Here is an 18,439-nt window from a genome sequence, read left to right on the forward strand (position 1 = left end):
CAACTTTCCTGGACTTCAGAGGGCCCCTGCCAGCCTGAGTGAGCCAGGCTTGGCTGCATCTTCCTGGGAGCCCCATCTCACCTGCCCTCCATCCCCAGGGCTCCTGCTCAGCACTTCTTACTTTCCCAGGACAAGCCTGGCTCCAACAGACATCTCTAGATGCTGTGTTTCTCTTTGTGGTGAGCAAAGAAACAGAATGAGTTCCATTTTTTAATTTTTTTCTAATTTTACCTATAACTTATTTATTGTAAAAAGGTTTGGGCTGCAGGAGACCTGACCCACCCACGCAGGAGGCCTCAGTAGCCTCCCAATCCACCCTGTTACTAAATATTTCCACTCCTAACAATATAGGGGGAAGCAGGAGCAAGTGCAGTTTCACTGCACCAGTGCTGTGAGGATGGGGCCAGAAGGGTCCTGCCCAGTAGGATTCAATAGGAATTATATAGAAATAAACATCTCAATGTTTGTTTGGACGGATTGACATGGAGAAATTTAATTTTGATAGGTTCTAGTACACAGAAGTTAAGCTTCCTAACAGCCATGAGTTTACAGCTTCCTCTTTCTGAATTTGGCAGTGTTTTTTGATGTCCAAATTGCCACGATGTCCACACATATTTACAATAGTTTATATTATTCATTTTGTATTACTAATTGTGCACTTTGGCCAACAGTGTTTCATACATCATGGTTGGTTTCCAACCTTGCTTGAAAATTGGAAGTGACAGCCCTTTATGGAATGTTGCTTTTGACACTCTTCCATTTAAGGCTCTGTGTCCCCACAGTGCTACGAAGACAAATAGTCATCACTCTTCCATTTTGAGGGGGCCAGGGTAAGCAGGTGCAATTTGAGAATACAAAGTACCTTGGAAACAGAATCATCTTTCAATCAGTTTTAGTGTGAATTTCATTTACATTAGAATAGCCTGTTCATGCACTCACAAGATTTCAGGGAGGGACAATTGTCACCTTTGAAGAATCAAAGTGACCAACGGGCTTCCCTCAGTATTTTGTTTATTTGTTTCTGGAACTTAGTCATGCCATTGTAGATCGTTTCTTTTGGAATCACTGGGTGATGAGAAACCCCAGGCTGGAGAGCTGGACACCGTGGAGTCCCTGTGGGAGAACTGTTATTAGGGTGGCCTAACTTGGAAGGCACTACAGCCTGTGGGAAAGCAGCATCCAAGATTCTCTCTGGCGTGGCCGGGTGCTGGGTGAGGTAGCCAGCCCAACAGCTTATTCTGTTTCTGGAATGGTGACTCCCAGCCTGGGCATGGCTTCAGTTTCCAGGAAACAGGCATGGGCCAGGGAGCGCCTTACCTGTTTACTGCTGCGATGTGTGGGGCCTGTATCCGCCACTGGGCACTCCACCTCTTCAAGTGGGGTCCTGTGCATTCCTTTTGGAGGCTTCAAAAGACTTTCCTCTCTGACTCCCGGCGTCTTCACCTGGACACTGTAGGACCCCAGATCTGTGTGTTTCCCAAGTGTCTATAGCGCCAGGTGCCCCATTGTGACAGGGAAGATGACCAAATTAAGTGATTAGGGCCGTTTGAAAAAAAAGCAGGAGAGATGCTGTATGGAGGAGGCCTGACATGACTGCCTCTAGCCTGCGGCTGCTGGTGCCATGCGCAGGCCGGACTGGTCTCTGCCAGGGTGATGTGATCCGTTGTGCTGAAGATTCTCACCATTTCCTTCCTTTCCCCATCGGGGACACCTGGGTAACCAGCTGAAGCAGTAGTTCCCCATCCGGAACAAAGACTGCAGACCCTCGCATGGGCTCCAGCCTGCAGGACACAAGCGTGAGCCTTGGAGGACCCCACATACCTAGGTGGTTGTGGGCTAGACCTGTGGCCTTCGCTGGGTTCTTGACTCATTTCTGGAGTGCGAGGGTTTTGTTCTTTTTCAACTGGAGGTGGCAGATGACTGTCCTTCTGGACTTCCTATATGCTCACCTGACCCCTGCGGGACCTGAGATCATTGGGGTTCCCAGGTCTTTATGGCATCACGCCCCCATTGTGACAACAAGGAGGATGACCAAAAGTATGCCGGTGGTTGAGGAAGAGAAAAAAGAGGAGTGGAGTTGCAGGGAGGAGGCTCGAAAGGATCACCTCCAGCCTGGGGCAGCTGGATTGGCGAGTCAGGGGCTGGCTCCTGCCTGGGCAAGACAATAAGCCATGATGAACAATGCCATTATCCTCCTTTTCAGTTGGGGGTACCTGGGCATATCTGAAAACCTTGAAAAAGTGTTTGCATTTTCACAGCTTAAGAAAAGGAAGCAGCAGCAGCTACAGTGGGTTTTTCATGCCTTCCAGTGGCATTGAAGAACCTGCACTGAATGCCACCTGGAAAACAGCCTGGACCTGCACCTTTGGGCCGGGGCACCCGTGGGAGCTCAGCCCTTGCCGCCTCAACCCTTTTTGGATTCTTTTCTCCCCAGACTGTCCCAGAGTTCAGGTCTTCTCATCTCTTGTCTGCCCAGTGAAGGCACAAGGGTGGAAAGGTGAGGGTGTGGAGTCAGGAGCTTTGTTCCAGTGCTGGGCATAGTGAGAAGTCAAAAGAGAGGTTATGATCTCATTGTGCTTGAAGGGGAGAGGCCAAAGCCTAAGACATTCTGCCTTTTTAGGGGAATTACCTTTCAAGGCTTATTTGGTCTTCACTAGCCTTTACATCTGAGGATGAAGGAGTTGAGGCTCTGTTACATGGATGTCTAAAGAGATCATAACTCTCACATTGAACGACACAGAGACTGATAGCTCTAGCACAGTACCTAGGTAATGTGACTCTCTCTTGCTACGTGTGCCCTTCCTACATAAGGAAATGTGACATACCACTGGGCCAAGCACCCAGGAAATGTGACTCTCCCGCCTGTGGCCTGCCTGTATTGGGCAATGTTGTGACACATCTCAGAGCTGAGCACCTAGGTGATGTAACTCCTTTTTTGGGAGCTGTCAATGGAAGGGATTGTGACATATGTTTGGCCAATCACCTAGATGATGTGACTCTCTTGCCTATAACTCAAATTGGGGAGAAATTATATCTTGACAATATTGAGATTTTATGATCATGCACATTAAATGTCTTTCTATTTATTAAGATCTTTTGTGATCTTTCATGGCTCTTTCATTAGAAATTTGTAGTTTCCATTGTATATAGATCTGTGTGTCACAAAGGTCTATATGACAAAACTGAGACAAAGACAAACTGACGGATTCTTCCAGTTTTTGTGGATGGCTCTGGGCTGGGGCGTTCCTTTAACACATGTGCAGACTGTTGAAAACTTTGCTTCAGTCTTCACTTTCTGCTGAGCTGAGCCTGAAGGTCAGCCAGTGCTGAAAATGAGGGTCTTCTTGGGTCTTTAAGAAAATGTGTTTTTCGTGGTTATGCACAGAGTGCTTTGTCAATTTGCCAGCATACCTGGGTGCTTTTTAATAGCCTAATTTGTAAAACAAAACAAAATCTCACGTTAGCTTTTTATTCTTGGCTTTATGTGACCTATTGTATGTGTCGTCTGTAATCTGTTCTCCAGGGGGCTGCTGGCTTTCAGTTTCCTTAAAATACTCCCAAGTAACTCGTGCCAATTTTTTAAACTGATTTTTTTTTCTGACTTAGAGAAAAAAGAGAGCCTTGTTTCAGACCTCTGGATAGCCCTAATACAGATTTTAATGTAACAACACAATACTTTGCAAGTAAGACCTCCTCTTTTCCCTCTGGAACCACTGAGCAGAGGCCCATACTGGCAACTCAGGATGTTGTTTTTAAGACTGCCATCAAGTAAGGGAAGGATTTGGGCAAGGACGTGTAAAAAGTCCACGAGGCTTTTCTCCTGTTCTTCATTGTTTTTCTTGATTTTGTAGTTACATGGTTGCTGTACAACTTGATGGTTTTCAACAGGTTTTACAACATCGTTTCTGACAGTTCTGCTTGGTTTTCCCTGTTTCTGTGGAGGAGCAGGTGTTTGGAGCTGTACATTCTTGACATTTTGCTGATTTTACTCTCTCTGGGTTCTCAGTTGTATTTCATTGATCTAAATGACTTTCCTTGTGTCGTTACTACACCATCTTGATTAAGGTTGCTTTGAGGCAAATTTTGAAGTTGTAATTTGTGAGTCCTTTTATTTGGCATCTTTTTAAAGATTTTTAAAGATATTCTTAGTCCCTTTTAATTTTATATGAATTTCAGCATCAATGCTTCAGTTTTTACATGGTAGTCACCTTGAATTCTAATTGTACTGAATCTAATTGTACTGGATGTAGACTGTTTGGGGAGTTATTGTCATCATAATGTATTAAACCTACTGATTCATAAACATGGAATGGTTTCTCATTTATTTAGATCTTCAACCTCTTTCGATAAGGTTTGTAGTTTTCAGATTATAAGTTCCTTTCACATTTTTAAAAATTTATTTCTATGATTTATTATTTAATTGCTATTGTAAATGGATTTGTTTTTGCCTCAACTGCATTATTAGATATTTCATTGCAAGTGTATAGAAGTAGAATTGATTTTTGTATAATAATTTTGTACCTCTGACCTTGGTGAATACATGATCTTGGTTGCTTCCAAGTTTTGTGAAAACTACAATTAATATTGCTGTAAACTTTTTTGTGCAGGTTTTTGTGTGGACTTACATTTTCAATTCATTTGAGTAAGCTAACCTTTAGGAATTTGTTTGGAGTTCAGAAGACACCACCCTGCCACATAAGATCGAGTTAAGAAAAACTCATTTTGTGCAAATCAAGTTTATATGGGCCTATGATGAGGTTCATGGAAAAGCACTGTGTATAGTTGTGTGAATTTGAGCCCAGTGATTTATTATGTATTAATCTTGCCCTGTGTAGCAGATGTTCTAGGAGGTGCTGCAATGACTAAAACAAAACAAATAATTCTGCCCACTTGAAGCTGATATTCTAGGAAAAAATAAATATATAATACAAGTAAAATAAACAATGTGTAAGATAGTGGTTACTGCTAATGTGGGAGGAGAGTGTGGTAAAGAGAGCAGAGGTCTAAACTGGGTGTCTCTCTGAGCATTTATTTATGTGTTTCAGCTGCTAACTCTGACAGTTAACAAGCTTGCGTGTCTTTGTCTGCGTGTATCCACCTTTATGTGCAGTGAAAAGTCTGCTTTTGTATTTATGCCTGGGTGCTATGTGTGTATTTGCTTTAAAATCACTAATACTTTTATGTTCTTGCCTAATTTCCTAGCTAACAGCTTTTTTTTTACCATGTTGAATAGATGTCGTGAGAACAGACATCTTTGTCTTATTTCTGATCTTAGGTAGAAAGCATTTTGTCTTTTAACATCAAGTATGATGTTAGCTGTGGGGTTTTTATAGATGTCTTACAATATCTTTTCTATTTCCAGTTTATTTAATGTTTTTATCATGAGGAGTGTTGAAGATTTTCAAACCTTTTTACTTTGTATTTTCCCTATATTAATACCTTGCCAGATGTATTATTAGAGTATTGTTATGGAGTATGTTCTATTATTCAGAGTTGTCCTGTTACTCTATTGATAGTGTCCTCTGAGAGACACTATTTTATTTCATTTGTTTGTAGTCTCTATCCCAGTACCACACTGTTTTGAGTAACATGACTGTGAGTAACTTTTGACGTTAGGAAATTTCTCATTATGAAATTAGAGCTCTGAACATTTTTATCTCTTTTTTTTGCGATCGTTTTGACTATTCTTGGTTCCTTGAGATTTCACTTGAATTTTAGAATGTTAGTTTCTGTTTCCATTTAAAAAAAGTTATTGGGCTTTTGATTGGGATTGCACTGCATTTATAGATAATTTTAGGAGAAATTGCCACATTAGTACTTTTAAGAGAGTTTCCAAGATGGCTTACTGGATGCAGCCAGCAAGTGTTGCTCCCAAAGAGAAAGACCACAATTTTGACTACATCAACATAGTTTGAATAGATATTTGGAGAGAAAATGGATAGTGTGGATGGAGAAAAGGTGCGTTTTCTAAGACTGAAGAGCAAGGAAGCTGGGGTGCCCTTATGGGGTGCCTGAACGCTATGACTGCTTTTTGGCCCTGAGTGGCATCTGGGGAAGAAGTGAGTAAAGGGACTGGGAGGCTGCTCACTCTCGCTGCAGACCACTGGGATCCTGGCTGCAGGAAACTCCACACCCCCATGGACATGTGAGTTGGCAAGGAGATCTCCCTGGAGAGTAGATGGAGATGGAGCTGTAGCAGGCACAGAGCCAGGACTTTTTAGCATGGGTCGGATCTGGTGGAGCTCAACCATAAAGTCCCACCTCTGCAGCTGCCTATCTCTCTCAGAGGCTTTGGCCCCAGCTAAACTGCAGGGAGAAAGCAAGGCCTGCTTACCCGCAGGACTGGGACATGTCTATCCTGTAGGCATGCCTGTCCACCAGCCTCTTACATGGCCCCTGCCTGGCTTCCTGGGAGAAGCATGTATACATTGTAGTTTCTGCTACCCAACCTGGATGCTTGGCTCCACCTGAATGCATTCTGGCAGCCCAGAAATCCCTCAGATCCCTCACCACACTTGGAACCTGGCCCTAAGCATCAGGAAGAGGGAGTCATAAGCAAGTCGTGGCACTCCAGTGCTGTGGCCTGTGGTTCAGGAGTGTCAAGCTGGGATCTGTGCTGGGCAGTTGAATGGGGGAGGAACCCACACTCTTCAGAAACTGAGAGGCCAGATTCACACAGGTTCACAGGCTGGCGTGGGCCCTAGGCACACCTCCTTCCACAGGGCTGTTATGGTAAAGATGCAGGGTATTTTTCTAGAAGACATCTCCCTGAGGAAGCCCCACAGCTTGAAACACCTAACAACAATGACAATAATGATAATGATAGTAATAGGCCGGGCGCGGTGGCTGACGCCTGTAATCCCAGCACTTTGGTAAGCGGAGGCGGGTGGATCACGAGGTCAGGAGATCGAGACCATCCTGGATAACACGGTGAAACCCTGTCTCTACTAAAAATACAAAAAAATAGTCAGGCGTGGTGGCGGGCGCCTGTAGTCCCAGCTAGCCGGGAGGCTGAGACAGGAGAATGGCATGAACCCAGGAGGCAGAGCTTGCAGTGAGCTGAGATCCTGCCACTGCACTCCAGTCTCTGGGCGACAGAGCAAGACTCTGTCTCAAAAAAAAAAAAAAAAAAAAAAAAAAAAAAGGAGATAATGATAGTAATAATAATGGGCATAGTGCCAGTGATTGGAAGTGAGTCTCTCAAGACTCATGAACAGACCTGTACCACAGAACATAGTTGCAAATAAAGAAGATACACAAAGGAACTGCATGGTAAAGAACCTATCTACATCCCACTGCTCTCAAGTGCTATCTACTGGATCGCAGTAGAGATTACACCACCAAAAATCACTTTACTAATTCTTCCCCTGTGAAACCAAGAGCAAGAATTCAACAACAAAGACACTGTACAGAGTCCTAGTCCTCTGAAAACCTTCAAAAAAAGAAAGCCAATAGACTATACTCAATTTATACCCCAATTAGAGGTATACCAGTTCTCTCAGATGAGAAAGAATTGGCTCAAAATCTCTGGCAATGCAAAAAGCCAGAGTGTCTCCTTCAAGAGAGCCCACTAGTGCCCCAGTGATGGTTTTTAACAGTCTGAATTGTCTAAAATGACAGACATGGAAAAAAGAGCAGGGAAACTCATTTAGATTGAGAAGAAAGTTGAAACTTAACCCAAGGAAGCCAAGCAATCCGGTTAAATGATTCAAAACCTGAAAGATAAAATAGCAATCTTAAGAAATATCTAAACTAAAAAAATTCTTGAGCTGAAAGATTTACTGTGAGGATTTTATAATAAAATCAGAAGTATTTCCAGCAGAATAGACTAAACTGAGAAAAGAATCTCAGAGCTCAAACACTGTTTTATTGAATCAACATAGTCAGACAAAAATAAAGATAAAAGAATTAAGAAAAATCAACATCCCCATTGAGAAATATGAGATTACTTAGAGAACAAATCTACAATTTATCAACATTTCTGAGAGAGAAGGAAAGAGAATAGGCAAGTTGGAAAATATGTATGAAGATATAGTTCATGAAAGTACCTCTAATCTCACTAGCGAGGTTGCCATTCAAATCCAAGAGAACCCCAGTCAGCCCCTAGTCAGATACAATAATATATGACAGTCTGTATTAGTCAGTTCTCACATTGCTATAAAGAAATACTTGATACTGGGTAATTTATAATGAAAAGAAGTTTGGTTGGCTCACAATTCTGCAGGCTGCAGCGGAAGCATGGCAGCATCAGCTTGGCTTATGGGGAGCCCTCAGGAAACTAACAACCATGGAAGAAGGAAGAGGGGGAGCAAGGCATCTTACATGGAAGAACAGGAGCAACACAGAGAGCGGGGAGGTGCTACCCATTCTTAAACAGCCAGATCTCATGAGAACGTTATCGCAAGACAGCACAAGGGGCTGGTGTTAAACCATTCACAAGGATCTATCCCCATTATCCAATCACCTCTCAGCAGGCCCCACCTCCAACATTGAAGATTACAGTTCCACATGTGATTGGGGCAGAATCACAGATCCAAACCATATTGCTATTTCCATGTCACATAGTCATCAGATTCACCAAAGTCAGTGCAAAAAAAAATTTAAGATCAGTTAGAGAGAAAGGGCAGGTTACTCACAGAGTGAATTCCATCAGACTAGCAGCAGACCTCTCAGCAGACTCCTTGCAACCAGAAGAGGTTAGGGGCCTATCTGCAGAGTTTTTAAAGGAAAAAAAATTAACCAATAATTTTATATCCCTCTAAACTAAGCTTCATAGGTGAAAGAGGAAAAAAAAAATTCCTTTGACAAGCAAATGCTGACGTGATACATTTAAACTAGACCAGCCTTACAAGAGGTCTTTAAGGTAGTGCTAAACATGGATTCAAGTGAATGATATCTGCTACCAAAAAAGCTCACTTAAGCACATAGCCCACAGGCACTATAAAGCAATAATGCAATCAACTCTACATAACAACCAGCTAACAACATGATGGTGAATTCAAAATCACACATATCAATACTCACCTAACATGTAAGTAAGCTAAACACCACAGTTAAAAGACACAAAGTGGCATCCTGGATAAAAAGACAGTACCCATCCATCTGTTGCTTTCAAGACACACCCTTTGCCTCAGAGTAAAAGGGTGGAGTGTATTCTACCATGCAAACGAAACAAAAACAAGCAGCAGTCACTATTCTTATATTAGATAAAACAAATTTAAACCAAAAAAAAAAAAAAAAACACTAAGAGGGACAAGAAGAGCATTTTGATAAAGGGTGCAATCTAACAAGAAGCCTTAACTATCTTAAATATATATGTGATTACCACTGGAGCATCCAAATTCATAAAATGACTTCTTCTTTGCCTACCAATGAAAAGAAGAATAACAAGGGCATATTGATAAAGGATAAAATCCTGTGAGAAGCCTTAAATATCTTAAATATATATACACTTAATATTGGAGCACCCAGATTTACAAAATGACTTTTTCTTTCCCCACAAAAAGGCTTAGACAACATCACAATAGTAGTAAGAGACTTCAACACCCTACTTACAGCATTAGACATATCACTGAGGCCAAAAAAAAAAAAAACTAACAGGAAAACTCTGGAGTTAAACTCCACACTTGACCAATTGGACCTAATAGACATCTATTGAAAACTCCATCGAACAACCACAGAATGTACATTTTTCTCATCTGCACAAAAAAAAATTCTAAGTTCAACCACGTGCTCAGTGATAAATAAAGCCTGAATAGATTAAGGAAAAATGAAATCTCACCAAGCACACTGTTGGAGCACAGTACAATAAAAAATACAAATGCATACCAAGATCTCTCAAAACTACAGAAATACATGAAAATTAAACAACTTACTCCTGAATAAATCCTTTGTAAACATCAAAGTAAGGCAGAAATATAAAAATTACTTGAAATTGATAGAAATAGGAACACAACTTACCAAAATTTCTAAGATGCAGCCAAAGCAGTGTTAAGAGGAAACTTTATAGCCCTAAATGCCTTTATCAAGAAGTTAGAAATGTCTCAAATTAACGATGTAACTTTGCACCTAAAGGAACTTGAAAAAAAGAACCAACCAACCCCAAAGCTAGCATGAGAGAAGACATAACAGCAATTAGAGAAGAATTTAATGAAGTTGAGATGCAAAAATGTATACAACAGTCCAAGAAAACAAAAAATTGGTTCTTCAAAAAAAATTGATAAGCTCCTAGCCAAATTAACAAATATAAAAAAGAAAGAGAAGATCCAAATAAGCGCAATAAAAATGACAGGTTATATTAAAATGGATCAGATAGAGATACAAAAGATCCTCAGCGAGTACTATGAACAGCTCTGCACGCAAATTAGAAAATCTGGAGAAAATGAATAAATTCCAGGAAGCACACAGTCTCCCAAGATGGAATCAGAAAGAGATCAAAACTCTAAGTAGACTAATATCAACTTCTGACATTGAGTCAGTACTAAAGAACCTACCAACAACAACAACAACAACAAAAAGGCCTGAAACAGGTAGATTGGCTGCTGAGTTTTACCAGACATACTAAGAAGAAATGATATCAATCCTACTAAAATTATTTCAAAATATCGAGGCGGTGGGGCTCCTTCCTAACTCATTCTTTGAAACCAGCAGTAGCATGATATGAAAATCTGGCAGAGACACTGTGAAAAAACAAAACTTCAGACCAAGATCCCTCATGAACAGAAAATGTAAAAATCCTCAACAAAATACTAGCAAACCAAATTCAGCACCACATCAGAAAGGTAATACACCATGGTCAAGTAGGCTTTATTCCTGGGATGCAAGCTGGTTCAACATATGCAAACCAATAAATGTGATTCACCAGCTAAATAGAATCAAAAGTAAAAACCATATGATTTTCTAAACAGATACACAAAGGTCTTCTTAATAAAATCCAACACTACTTCATGGTAAAAATCCTCAATAGACTAGGCATCCAAGGAACATACCTTAAAATAATAAGAGTCATCTATGGGAAACCCACAGTCAACATCATACTCAATAGGTTAAAAACTTAAAACTATTTCTATGAGAACTGAAACAAGACAAGGATGCTCACTCACAGCACTCCTATTCAGCTTAGTACTGGAAGTCCTATGCAGAGCAATCAGGCAAGAGAAAGAAAAAGTAACGAAACAGGAAAAGAAGTCAAACTATCTCTCTTCGCTGAAAATATGATCCTATGCCTAGAAAATCCTAGAGATTCTGCCAGAAGGCTCCTAGAATTAATAACTTTAGTATAGTCTCAGGATACAAAATCAGTGTAAACAGTACTGATTATGGTGAAATAAGTAGCATTTCCATACACCAACAATGTCCAGGCCAAGAGTGAAATCAAGAACACAATTCCACTTAAAATAGCCACAAAAAAGAGAAATACCTAGGAATACAGATAACCAAGGAAATGAAAGATCTCTTCAAGGAGAACTACAAAACACTGCTGAAAGTCACACACCTACAACCATATGATATTTGACAAGGCTGGCAAGAACAAGCAATGGGGAAAGGACTCCCTAGTCAATACATTCTGGGATAACTGGCTTGCCATAGGCAGAAGATTGAACCTAGACCTTTACCTTGCAACATGCCCCAAAATTAAATTTAAATGGATTAAAAATTTAAGTGTAAGACCTCAAACTATAAAAATTCTGGAAGATAACCTAGGAAATATTTTTTTGACATCAGCCTTGGCAAGTCGTTTTTGGCTAAGTCCCCAAAAGCAATTGCAACCAAAACAAAAATAGACAAGTAGGACTTAATTTGACTAAATAGCTTCTGCACAGCAAAATAAACTATCAACAGGGGAAAGAGGCATCCTCCAGAATGGGAGGAGATATTCACAAACTATGAGTCTAACAAAAGCCTAATATCCAGACTCCATAGGGAACTCAAATCAACAAGCCAAAAAAAAAAAACCATTAAAAAATAAAAAATGGGCAAATGAGATGAACAGATATGCCTGAACAGAAGATATACAAGTGGCCAACAAACATGAAAAATTGCTCAGCATCAGTAATTATCAGATAAATGCAAATCAGAACCACAATGAGGTACCATCTCATGTTAGTCAGAATGGCTATTACTAAAAAGTCAATAAATAACATGTTGGCAAGGCTGTGCAGAAAAGGAAACACTTTACGTCACTGGCAGGATTGTAAATTAGTTCAGCAATCGTGGAGAGCAGTCTCGAGATTTCTGAAAGAACTTAAAACAGAACTACCAATTTACCCAGCAATCCTACAACTGGGTATATACCCAAAAGAAAATAAATCATTCTACCAAAAAGACATATGCACTTGAATGCATCACTGTGCTATTCACAATAGCAAAGATGTGGGATCAATCCAGATGCCCATCAATGGTATATTGGATAAAGAAAACCTGGTATGTATACACCATGGAATACTACACAGCTGTGAAATATAATGAAATCATGTCCTTGGTATGAACATAGGTGGAACCAGAGGCCATAATTTCAAGCAAATTAATGCAGAAACAGAAAGCCAAATACTGCATGTTCTTACTTATAAGAGCTAAACATTGAGCATATATGGACATAAATATGGGAACAGTAAACACGGTGGACTACTAAAGTGTGCAGAGGGGAGGGCAAGTTAATATACTACATATTGGTTGCTGTGCTCACTACCTATGTGCTCCAAACCTGAGCATTATACAATATTCCTACATAACAAATCTGTGCCTGTAACCCCTGAATCTAAAATAAAAGTTGAAATTTTTTAAAAAGTCTTTTCACCTATGAACAGAAGATACTGTTCCATTTATTTGTACCTTTGATTTCTTACAGCAGCATTTTGAAAGTTTTTATTGTACAAATAGTTTGTCATCCTGGTTAAATTGATTCCAGAGCATTTTATTCTTTTTAATACTGTTGTTCATGGTATTGTTTTCTTAATTTCCTTTTCAGATTAATCATTATTGGTGTGCATCAATGCAACTGAGTTTTGTAAGTTAATTTTGTATCCTGCAACATTACTTAATTTGTTTAAACTGTTTTGAGGTGTTTTTCTGTTTGTACAATCTTCAGAATTGTGTGCATACATGATTACTGTGAACAGAGATATTTCTATTTTATTCTTTTTAACATATGCATTTTTGTCTTTATTTTATTTTTGTTATTGCTTAAGCTAAAGTTTTATATACTCTGTTGAGTGGAAGTGGTAAAAAAGAGGAACTATTTTTAGTTCCTGATATTAAGGGAAAACATTTTTTGTATTTCACTGTTGATTATGTTGTGTGTTTGTACCATGAATGAGTAATATCTTGTAGAATGCTTTTTCTGTGTAAATTGAGATATTGTGGTGTTTAACAGTACTAATGCGGTATATTATGATTATTTGTTTATTTATTTATTATTTATTTATTTTTAGAGACAGGATATTATGATGTTGTTTAGACTGCTCTTGAACTCCTGGACTGAAGTGAACCTATCACCTTAGCATCCTGGGTAACTGGGATTACAGGCACAAGCCACTGTGCCTGGCTACATTTATTGATATTTATATGTTAAAGCATCTTTGCACTTCAGTAATAACTCTCAATTAGTCTTGGTAGATAACCCTCTTATTATTCTGCTAAATATATTTTGCTAATATTTATTTTATAGATTTTATATTATTTATAAAGAACATTTTTCTTCAACTTTCTTTCTTGTAGTGCTTTTGTTCATTTTTTATGTCACTGTAATTTTGGCCTACCTCATAGAATAAATTTGGAAGTGTTTCTGCATCTTCAGGTTTTTGCAAGAGTTTGAGGATAATTGGTAATTAATTCTTAAAATGTTTGATAGATTCAGCAGCATAACAGTTTTGTACTTTTTTTTCTGGAGGGGTGATTTTTGCATCAATCTGCAACTATAGGTCTGTTCAGATTTTCTATTTGTTCATGACTCAGTGTCAGTACATTGTGTATTTCTACATATACATGTGTCGACTTTATCAACATTATTCAATTTCCTTGTGGTCTCTTAGAGACTTATTTAACAAGATCTGAGGCATACAGTTCTTTCAGTTGTATTCTGCTACCATGTATTTATTCTGCTGTTGATGTAGTGGTTATGTGAGAGCTTAGGCAAAGCACTCTATTGACTTATGCATTAGCCTCATTAAAACAAATCAAAACAAAACAGTGTATCCCTAGGCTGTGAATTTCATGAGGACTTCTCACTCTTTACCTCTCTTAACTGGATCAAGAAGGTTAGAGGGGGATGGAATTGGGCATTTCTCTTACTCCAGGAAGTCTGGCTCTGGTAAAATCTCAGTTGGTTAGGCTTTTGATACATAGTTTATATTGAAGATAGGAATGTTAAAAAGAAAATTTTCTGGGAATAGTTAAAAATGGCTACATTTCCCTTCCTCCTACTGGAATCAAGAAGCATTTTTTCTATCATCTTCCCTGTAAAAGCCATGTCATGTTTCTGAAAGTAAAGTTCATAAATTTGTATACCCTGAAAATGTTAATTCTCAAACTTTTAGCCATTCATCAATAATGGTTTGTTTTCTTACAACTGTATTTGTTCCCATAGGGGTTTCTTGTGGTTTACTAACCAAGTAAGTTATAATTCTCTGGATGTGTGTGTCCTTCTGTCCAATTTGGGATGGTGATTTGCCCTGTGAACTTATTTTTCTGATAGATGTTAGGAGAATTGCTGGCCTATGTTTCCCTTTTTACTTTCGCTGATGCGAATGTCACCTTCTACGTCCTTACTTGCCAGGCTGACCAAAAGGAACTATCTTCATTTTTTGATGGTTGTCTCTATTTTTAATCCTAAACCGTGTGTGTGTGTGTGTGTGTGTGTGTGTGTGTGTGTGTGTGTATAAAATAATACAGTAAGAGGAAACCTGGGTGGTCCCTTTTCTGGTACCAGCAGCAGATTGAAACCATTCAAACCCCTGTCCATGGGAATAAATTCTCACCCTAGCATGCCACCTACCCTCAATAAAAATCCAGGCCTGGCTCCTTTTCTTGCACATTCAAGCCATGTCAGATCACCTTGAAAGGCCTTCCTACTTACCTCACAAATGTAATTTATGTGAGTAGTAATTTCTTACCCTCTTAAAGCCACATCTTTGCAAGTGACTAACAATTGGTGCCATGAGCAGACTGTTCAGACATTGCCCACCAACCTGAGGATCTGTCTTCTCTTGCTAAGTTGCTCTGCTGCTTAATGTCTGGCATGTACTTTGACCTGCTGCTTCCGGAGGAGTTAGTGCTTTGAGCTGTGCCGCTCTGTTTATTGTTCTGCCAAATTTGTGAACTAAAAACTCAGACTTCCACATTACAGGGGGAAATGACACAAATCGTGGGGTTTGATTCAAACATAATAAATCTTTAAATTTTTATCATGCAATATAGTCACAAACGAATGAATAAAACATTTATCATAAGTTTTAGTGATAATAATGAAAACATTCTTAGAATCAAGATTTATTACATATATTTATAATATATATATAATTAATATATATAATATATAAATATATTTTATATTATAAATATATATAATTATATATAAATATAATATATATTTATAATATTTTATATAGAAATATATATATTTATAATATAATTATATATATATTTTTTTTGCCCCCGCCGCCGCGGATTCTTGCCCCCGACGCCACGGCTTTTTGCCCCCTACGCCGAGGCTTTTTGCGGCTTTTTGCCCCCGCCGCCGCCCCTTTTTGCCGCCGCAGTTTTTTGCTCCCGCCACCGCGGCTTCTTGCCCCCGCCGCCGCGGCTTTTTGCGGCTTTTTGCCCCTGCGGCATTTTGCCCCCGCCGCCGCCGGTTTTTGCCGCCGTGGCTTTTTACCCCCGCCACCGAGGCTTTTTGTCCCCGCCGCCCCAGCTTTTTGCCCCCACCGCCGCCGCTTTTTGCCACCACCGACGCGGCTCTGAGGGCGGGAGCGGCACACTCGGCTGCCGGCTCTACCGGCGTCCTTGTTCGGGCGGAGCCGAGGGGCGCTCCTGGTCCAGCTCTCCCGGCTCGGGGGTTCCTTGCCTAGGCGCCCGCGCCCCGAGCTCCCCGCCTTGGCCGCTGCGGCCTGCATAGAGCGGCGCTGCGCGTAGCGGCCAGGGGAGAGAAGAAGGAGGGCGGTGGCGGGGGTGATGCGGCGGCCTCTTTGGGAGGCGCAGGGGCCGCAGCCAGCCAGACGCTGCAGCAGTGTGGGCAGCTCCAGAAGCTTGTGGGCAGCTCCAGAAGCTTATCCGCATCTCCATTGGCAGCCTGAGCCGGTTGCGCAACAAGTGCGCTGTGTCCAAGGACCTCACCCAGCAGGAGATACGGACCCTGGAGGTAAGGGGGTCGTGGACCCAGGCTGGGCTCGAGGAGCGGCCCAGACACCTCCCTCCGTGCCCGAGTTCACTCCTGGCCGAGTTGCATCCTTGAGCCCGAGTCGCCCCGTTGGAGGCTTCCCCTCCCTCCTGCACTCGCTGATGCGGCAGCCGGAGGACCCGGGACCAGCCCTCACCTTGGGCAGGATCTGTGGGGCGGGTGCGTCGTGGGAACTGGCAGGGAGGCTTGAGGGGCCCATGGGCGAGGTGGGCTGCGAGCGGACATCCCCTTACCCCCTGAATTTCCATCTGGTCCAGCCCTCTCATCTTGTGGGTGAGGAAACCGAAGGCCTGAGGGAGAACTGACTTGCCTGGAACCCCTGTTAAGGAGAATTAACAAAGTGTGGTTATTAAAGGAGCACTGAGTTGGGAGTGAGACCTGGAGGCCCACACCCTTGGTTAAGACATAATACCACCTTGAGTCTGGCCTGTTGACTGAGGGTGAGCCACTCCATCCTCATCTGATTGTGGGGTCTTGACCTCAAGGGGTTGCCTGAAGGAAGAAGCACATGGGTTTGCTTTCCTAGCTCTGTCCAGTACCTTAGGGACCCTGAGGACTGGAGAGATTCTTGGAGAGCCATCTGGTGTATATCATGGGTGGGCCTTTTTTGAAGGTCAGTCTGCCCAGTGGGCTGGCTCAGCCCCAATGAACTGTCTTGAATCTTTGGAGTTGTCTGGGTACTTTTAAGGGCTTCTCATCCTTGCACCAAAAGATCCCCTGGAAATTAGGTGGGAAAACTTTAACTTTTGTGGGGCCTTGTGTTTGTCTTAAAAGTTCATGCACATGGCCAGATGTGGTGGCTCACACCTGTTATCCTGTCCTGGATCCCTTGAGTCAAGGAGTTTGAGACTAACCTGGACAATATAGTGAGACCCTGTCTCTACAAAAAATAAAATATTAGCCAGTGGTGGTTGTGCACATCTGTAGTCCCAGCTACTACTGTGGCTGAGGTGGGAGGAGCACTTGAGCCTGCACTGAGCTGTGATCTCAGCAGTGTACTCCAGCCTGGGCCACAGAGCAAGACCCTGACTCAAAAAAAAAAAAAAAAAAACCAACAAGAAAAATACTTGAAGATTTTTGCATTCTGTCCCACTACCCATTGGTTGTCATGTGAAGATAATGTCAGAAATTCTTTACAATTGCTTCCAGAAGGAGTAGCCTTTTGATCTAGTGCACAGGTGTCTTTTGGCTTCTCAGGGTCACATTGGAAGAAGAATGCTCCTGGGCCACATATAAAATACACTAATGCTAACGATAGCTGATGAGCTTAAAAAAAAAAAAGGTTTGTGCATAATTTTCATGATACCCACCACCACAGATAGGTGGAAAAGTCCTTGTAGTCAAAGGGTTGGACGCGGCTGACCTAGTGTCTTGTCATCCGTTTTGGCTTTCTCCCTGATTCCAGAATGCAGGTATAGATGTAGAGACGTGCTCTCAGGACAGCTGTTGAGATAAAAAATTCTTTGTCATTTATTCCCAAGCACAGCTGTTTGTCATTTGCATTGAAAAAGTCTCCATTCAAACTGCTGTCACATATAAAATCTATTTATGTAAGTCTGTATTTTTCTGTTGTCTTGGCCTTTTGGGCAGTAGAGTGTTTTAACCGAGCAAACTGTCCTTCCAAATAATGAAGTCGAAGTCAGCCTACCTGCTTGCCATTTTTCTTCCCCTTCCATTTTTCTAACTTCAGGATAATTGTAAGAATGAATTAAACTTTATGTTGAAGGCCGGGCACAGTGTCTCAGGCCTGTAATCCCAGCACTTTGGGAGGCAGAGAGGGATGTATCACTTGAGCTCAGGAGTTGAAGACCAGCCTGGGCAACATACTGAGACTCCGTCTTGTAAAATTAAATTAAAATGTTTAAAAAGAAGAGAAAAAGACCTGTGTTTAAATTTTAAAAAAGGGGAAATTGTAATGCAAAATGTGGACTATGCCAGCTATGATTGGGAAAAATAATTTTTCCTACAGCATTATCTGTAGACTTGTATTAGCAGCATACTGGTCATAAGCGTTTTGCTTTCCTCAAACATGATGAGGTAAGCTAC

At 41.1% G+C, this 18,439-nt stretch overlaps 1 long non-coding RNA gene across 1 annotated transcript; it reads right to left on the bottom strand.

Annotated features, from left to right (window-relative positions):
• Nucleotides 1-463: 463 nt before the first annotated feature.
• On the bottom strand, nucleotides 464-17,712 carry LOC105369266 (uncharacterized). Its single transcript, NR_158162.1, has 6 exons — nucleotides 17,704-17,712; nucleotides 16,809-16,885; nucleotides 16,627-16,712; nucleotides 2,630-3,430; nucleotides 1,318-1,781; nucleotides 464-1,113 (listed from the first exon to the last, which is right to left on the bottom strand). It is a non-coding gene; the product is annotated as an uncharacterized LOC105369266 (long non-coding RNA).
• Nucleotides 17,713-18,439: the final 727 nt, after the last annotated feature.

Source organism: Homo sapiens, chromosome 16 (genome assembly GCF_000001405.40).
Source record: "Homo sapiens chromosome 16, GRCh38.p14 Primary Assembly".
NCBI lineage: Eukaryota > Metazoa > Chordata > Mammalia > Primates > Hominidae > Homo > Homo sapiens.